The sequence below is a fragment of the Homo sapiens genome, chromosome 2 (assembly GCF_000001405.40).
Source record: "Homo sapiens chromosome 2, GRCh38.p14 Primary Assembly".
In the NCBI taxonomy this organism is placed as follows: domain Eukaryota; kingdom Metazoa; phylum Chordata; class Mammalia; order Primates; family Hominidae; genus Homo; species Homo sapiens.
The window spans coordinates 129,434,622-129,441,870 of NC_000002.12; positions in this window are offsets into that span (position 1 = coordinate 129,434,622).

Consider the following 7,249-nt stretch of genomic DNA (forward strand, 5'->3'; position numbering starts at 1 on the left):
CACAAACATCTTGTATTGGTCTGAGTTCTAAACAATTGCCATGGTTACTCTTGAGTTTTAATAATATAAATGTAGGTCTCAAATGAGCAGATCTTCACCACATATCCTTTTTGTTTTTAATTTTACTTTAAGTAAGTTCTGGGACACATGTGCAGAAAGTGCAGGTTTGTTAGTTACATAGCTGTACATGTGCCGTGGTTGGCTGCACCTATTGACCCATCCTCTAAGTTCCCTCCCCTTGCCTCCCACTCCCCCACGGTCCCCTGTGTGTGACGTTCCCCTCCCTGTGTACGTGTGTTCTCACTGTTCAGTTCCCACTTATGAGTGTGTTTGGTTTTCTGTTCCTGTGTTAGTTTGCTGAGGATGATGGCTTCCAGCTTCATCCATGTCCCTGCAAAGGACATGATCTCATTGCTTTTTATGGTGGCATAGTATTCTTTTTTTTTTTTTTTTTCCTTTTTTTGAGGTGGAGTCTTGCTCTGTAGCCCAGGCTAGAATGCAATGGTGCAATCTTGGCTCACTGCAACCTCCACCTCCTGGGTTCAAGTGATTCTCCTGCCTCAACCTCCCCAGTAGCTGGGATTATAGGTGCCCATGACCACGCCTGGCTAATTTATTTTTATTTTTATTTTTAGTATAGACAAGGTTTTGCCATGTTGGCCAGGCTGGTCTGAAACTCCTGACCTCAAATGATTCTCCTGCCTCTGCCTCCCAAAGTGCTGGGATTACAGGTGTGAGCCACCACACCCGGCCATGGCTGCATAGTGTCCCATGGTGTATATGGGACATGTTACATAGGTATACATGTGCCATGGTGGTTTGCATGGCACATGCATACCTATGTAACAAACTTGCATCTTCTGCACATTTTCTTTATCCAGTCTATCATTGATGGCCATTTGAGTTGATTCCACGACTTTGCTATTGTGAATGGTACTGCAATAAACATCCCTGTGCATTTGTCTTTATAGTAGAATGACTTATATTCCTTTGGGTATATACCCAGTAATGAGATTGCAGGGTCAAATGGTATTTCTGGTTCTAGATCCTTGAGGAATCACCATACTGTCTTCCACAATGGTTGAACTAATTTACATTCCCACCAACAGTGTAAAAGCATTCCTATTTCTCCACAGCCTCACCAGCATCTGTTGTTTCCTGACTTTTTAATAATCGCCATTCTGACTGGCATGAGATGGTATCTCATTATGGTTTTGATTTGCATTTCTCTAATGATCAGGGATAATTGAGCTTCTTTTCATATATTTGCTGGCCATTCAGAACATAGGCATGGGCAAAGACCTCATGATGAAAATGCCAAAAGCAATGGCAACAAAAGCTAAAATTGAAAAATGGGATCTAATTAAACTAAAGAGCTTCTGCACTGCAAAAGAAACTATCATCAGAGTGAACAGGCAACCTACAGAATGGGAGAAAATTTTTGGAATCTACCCATCTGACAAAGGGCTAATATCCAGAATCTACAAAGAACTTAAACAAATTTAAAAGAAAAAAAAAACCATCAAAAAGTGGGCGAAGGATATGAACAGACACTTCTCAAAAGAAGACATGACGTACTCTTTAATAAATATTATACCCTACAGGGAAGTTGATTCAGAGAGCTCCGAGTTATATGGAATGCCCCACAACTCACAGCAATTCAGCTATTCACCTTTTTTTTTTAATTCAAATCCTGCTCAGGTGCAGTTTGTGACCCCAGCCCTGTGGTACTTCATGTTCTTATATTCTAATAGTACACTCAAAAGAAGCAATGGTCTCACAGTGATTGTAAAGGGAATCACACATCCCCAGAGCTATCCCAACACTGTGGCTGCAGGTGACCACATGAACTTCCCCTTTATGTTGAAAATCCAACACAGCGAAGCAGCAGAGATCACAAGATATCTTTTGTTTGGTAAGCGCAAACTTTATTTCATACATGAAATAATTTATTAAATTTAATGATATATTTGAAATTAAAAGTTTTTCTTTTTAAATAATTTATTGTCTTAAACTAAAGAATGACTCAAGAAACCATTACTGGTTATTGCACGATTATCAGTGAAAATGATTTTGTTTAATAAAGGAAGGAAAGATGATCCACTGTGCGTGATAACTTTGAGGGGTGTGCCCCTCTCACCTAGTTGGAAAAGCAGCAGTTCAGTCTTTTCAACAGTGCTGGGGAACCTAAGCCTCGGGAGAGCTGAGTTCCAGCCCAGCCCTGCCCCATACCTCCTTTAGCCTAGGAGACTCATTCGAACTTTCAGGCCAGGGTCCTTCGCCCGCAAAGTGAGACCCTGGGAGAAGAGGACCTTTCAAAACAGAGATCAAATGCTGATTCTGAAGCATATGGTGCAGTCTCAACCCCTGAGGCATTTTGCAATATAGGCAAAAAGATGAGACATGCACACTCATGAAAAGTTAAATAGCTGTAGAAGATGCCAGCACAAAATAAATCACAAAGCAGAAAATGACAGGCACCAAGTAAACGGAGCCAGCAACTCCAGTCCTCAGTCAGAACCTGGAGAGACCACATGGCCTGGAGGGAGCTGGGAAGCTTTCTAAACACAACCAAGCTTGGGGCAGTTTCTGGAGGCACTTTGCTTGGTTATATTTAATTTATAACCCCAGGCTTATTTAGCTGTGGTTTAAAACTGGATCGATGCATCTTCTTTCAGCCAGAGCCTCAGAACTCCAAGGACAGCACTGATGGTGTGCATTGAAGGAAGGGCCTGGAGGGTCTCCTGCCTCTCCGCAGTCCCCAGCACACGCACTCCCCATGGAACAGAAACGGTCTATGGCTCCCTATGAGCCCTGAAGGGCCAGCTTCTCAGGGCTTTCTCACCTCTACCTTCTGCCACTTGGGTTCCTGGCACCTGCTGCCCATCTGCATGACCTGTGCGATGGAACATGGTCCCTGTGCTCAGGCAGCTCAGCAGGACACAGGTAGATAGCATGTGGCAGCTTAGGCACTTCTGGGAACAGCCAAGGTGAGCATATGTGCCTGCACTTGCCTGAGTTTCCACACCAGAAAGCTGATTTTAGTATTTTTCTTTTGCACCCCAAAAACCAGCTTTCCCACAAGCAGGTTTGCAGTGTGGCCAGCTGCCAGCCGGGCTGGGTAGAGCTGTCCTCACTCTTAATTCTTCTGGTTTGTTTATAAGGCTGCTTTCTTCATTCTTGCTTCTCCAGATTATCTGTTCCCCTGAGGGCAAAGGGAAACCAGGCAGCCCCACATTGACTGCAGCTCAGTGTTCTCTGAAATGCAATTAAAATGTTAAGAAAGATGGACAATCAATACTTTGTACTCTACACAAAAAATTCCCCTCCTAATGGCCTAATGTGGGAGGTGATGCAGTGAGTGAGCCCAGGGCTGTGTCTACAAAATGCCAACACAACCAGTGGCAAAACGAGTCATTTCTGTCTCATTGCCAATCTCCCCACCTGGTTTCCCTCCTGGCGCCCCACCCCATAGTCAGTTAACTAGATGATTTATTCTGACATCGTGGAAGGCAGGGCCACAGAACAGGAGAGCCAGGTGCAGAGCAGCTTCACGGGGCACGATGGGGCTCCCTTCACTCTTTCCATGAGAAGAACTACAAATTTTTACTCTTCTGAGTTCTTGCAAAGACAAAATGGCAGATACAGGCACACCTAGGGCATGCATATTACACCTGCCCAACTTTCTCCATGCCCCAGACCTGGCCTCAGCATCCCTCCTGGGACACCCCCAGGCGTCCTCAGCCACCTTGAGACAAAACTGAAGGACCTGCTATCCGGGGCCAGGTGGTGCCTCTCTTATGTGAAATCACTATTCCTTCCAGCAGCCCAAAGACCAGCGACATACCTTGTTTTATAGATGCTGAAGTGGGCCTAGCAGCCGGTCAGGATTCCCAGCTAGGACGAAAGAGAACCCCAGGCTCCCTCTCCCTCCCCAGCCCATCAGCCGCTCATCCCCACACTGGGAGTAAGCATTCACTGTGCTCCAGGCACCGTGTTGGACGTGGGCGTGAGTATAATAGAATAGTCTTTCTCTTCTGAGCACTCACATTGTAGGGAAAACCATAAAACATTAGACTCTCTCATGAAGGAGGCCCGATTTGGTGGCTAAGACAAGGCTGACTAATGGCAACATGTGTACCCATCCTCCTCTTGCCTCCCACACCAGCCGGTCCTTACTCTATCACAAGACTTCCATGGTTCAGCGGAGCACGAGCCCAAGCACAAGGAGGTTAAAGCCTGGCTGTGCCACGGCTGCTCTTGTGGACCACTCTCGTGCTCGATCAGCTTGTCTGCTGGATCACACAGCCTGTGGGCTCATTTCCATGAATGCTTAAGGCTTTCTGGGTACCTTCTCAGGGCCCAGCCTAACAAACAGAACATTATCAGGAGCACCCAGAAACTGGGTGAGGAGATGATGAAACAGATGGGGCAGACAGGGGGCTGCAGCTGGGGCTAAGTCTGCAGAGAAGCCATGGGTGCTCAGCCAGGCACACCCAGATTTGAATCTGGACTGTCACCTGCTGCTTGTGAGTCTTGGGCAAGGTGGTGATGGAATATAGCACAGCATGTCATGAGGTGATACCCCAAATTTTTCAGATAATCAGTGTTAACAAGCCCAATGTGGGCTGACGGAGTCCAGGAAGGCTTCTTGGAGGAGGCAGTGCTGGAGTCCTGTAAGTGTCCAGGTGGGAGTGGGTGGGGACATGGAGTGGCAAGAGGAGAGGTTATGGGGCTGGAATAATAGGCTGCCTTCCCAGACCGAGGCATGCTGGGCTTTCCTGAAGCAGAAGATGTGGGAGAGTGAGCATCAGGTGAAACTTGGTACAGGGCAGGACGGGCCAGGAGGGCTCCCTTGATATGTCGCACCCATCTGCAGCTGAGGCAAACACGTCTTCCAGTGCCCACTTCCACAGCTTTCTAAAAGGACCAATTATCACCTTTCATGCTAACGTTATTGTTGTTCCTCCTCAGTGTGGGCCATGGGCCAGGAGCCACCAGTACATGTCAGTTCTGCTTAATTAGGAGGGGAAGTCATCTGTTTTTATTCATACAAGCGTGTGGTGGAAAATAAATTCATGCAAAATGTTAGGTTTAAATACTAGATGTCAGAAAACAGTGCTTCAGTTTGGATCCCTTGGGCTCCTGCGAGGGCTTGCCTCCAGGCTCCTGGGCTGCACAGACCACTTGGTGCTGAGAGTGAGCCTGGGCATTTCCCATTTGTTCTCTCCCCTCATCCTTATCTCAGCCCTAAGAGGCACCCAGAGTCAGAGGCCCAGATGCACGATAAGTCATTAGTGGCATCAGAATCCACACAGCAGCAGCCCTGCTAGGGGCCTGGCCTTCTGCCGCCATAGCAGGAGCATCAGGCAGTGCAGGCAGCCAGTGGACCCTCATTCTGTCCCTCATGTGGGGCCTCCTCTATAGCCCTCCACTGTCCATGCTGCCTCCTAAGTGTTAGCACCCAGCGCCTTCTGGCGCTCCTGCAGCCATGCTTGGACTGACTGCTTTGTCAGCTCACTCTGGGGTCCACGACCATGGCCAGCAAGGTGCTGACAGCCAGCCTTTCCCGTCTGTGCCCAGTTGTGACTTTGTGGGGTACACCCAGTACTTTGGCTTCTTGAAGAAAGAAGAACCACATAGCTGAGCCGAGAGAAGATGTGCATTTCCCAAGCCCCAGCCATCTGCCAGAAGGCCACTCTGCCGGTGGCCCCGGCTTTACCTAATGATTCATCAGCAATTCTGGAAGAGAAAGGTGTTCTCCTAGTGATGGATTTACTCCATATCGCTGACTCTGGACAGAAAAGAGTAAAAAGGAAACACAATTTTCCATCTGAAAACATGTGTTCTCTTAACTTACCTTAAGAAAGAATGTCAACTTCTTTGTGACTGCTCTCTCCTTTTAAGAGAACATTTTCTCAGTTATTGCTCTGACAACACAAGGAGGGCATGTGTTCTGAAGAGCTCAAGGTATAGAATACCACACCTGTTCTGCTAATTCCATCAGCAACATGCTTAGTGTGGGCGTCGTAGATAAGGGCTTAATAATGTTCCGTCAGCACCAGATCCAGGAGTAACACGGATGATGGTCACAGTTCACTGAATGCATGCAAGCATTTTTTTTCCAATTTGTTATTATCATTTAAATTAGAAATACTTTGTGTTACTAGATAAGCAGGCCAGGAGCATCAAGATCCAACCTAGCCAAAGTTCATTGTCTGGGGTCACACAACCAAGGCCTCCCAACCCCCTGCAGTGAGCTGTGTGGGGCCCGTGCTCTTCAGTCCCTGAGGCATGGAGCCTCAGCTTGTGGGATCCAGGAGCGGGGCATAGGGGGACTTCCTTGAAGAAAGCCTCAAAGCTGGTGAGTGAGCACTGCCTCTCAGGGCCTCTTTCTCCCAGAGACATCAGGGTCTCACTGCCCCTTCCAGCTATCCAGCCAACCAGGTGACACTGGGGAGACAAGCAGTCAGAGGGACTCAAACCAGGCAGCTTGCATTTGAGTGTGACGTGCAGATGGTTCCAGGGAGCCCTGGTGTTCCAGGGAGCACCTCAGGGTGGCTGTGTGGGTGGTGGCAACAACTTTCCACACAGATATACACCTGCTTCACACTGCTATTTAACCAGAGCACATTTGCCTTTGGCCGCTCTACTGAAGTCTGTGTTTTAGGCAAAGTTGTTAGACCCGAAAACATGTGAGTCATTACAATAAAAGCATTGCCCTTGGACATAGACAAACTTTGTTTCCATCTCAACTCCCTCATCCACCATTATGTATCATTATTTAGGGCTTGCATTCACTTATCCAAAAACTATTTACTGAGCATCTTCCATGTGACAAGAACTGTTTTATTAAATGAGATTACCTGCAATAAATTATAGCTATACGATGCGTATTGGTAAGAAGTGTGGGAGTGTCTACAACTTTACCCTCAAAGTATCCATGCAATGATACCAATAAATGCATGTCTCTGCCACTTATGTAGTATGTATATGTGCACCCCATGTCTGTGTACATGTATCTCAGCACCTCTCCCATGGATTTGGTGCTAGGTAGCAGGATGTTACAGACACTGAAGGAATGCACAGCTTGGAGGTAGAAACAGGACTGTAAAAAATGAAGCAGGTAAACAGAACAAGCAGACACTCAGTAAATCAGAGAGGGCTTCCTGGAGGAGGTGAGATTTGAATTGAGGCTTAAACTCTCACTCAGTAGGTAATTGCTTGAGCACCTAGCACTCATCTTACC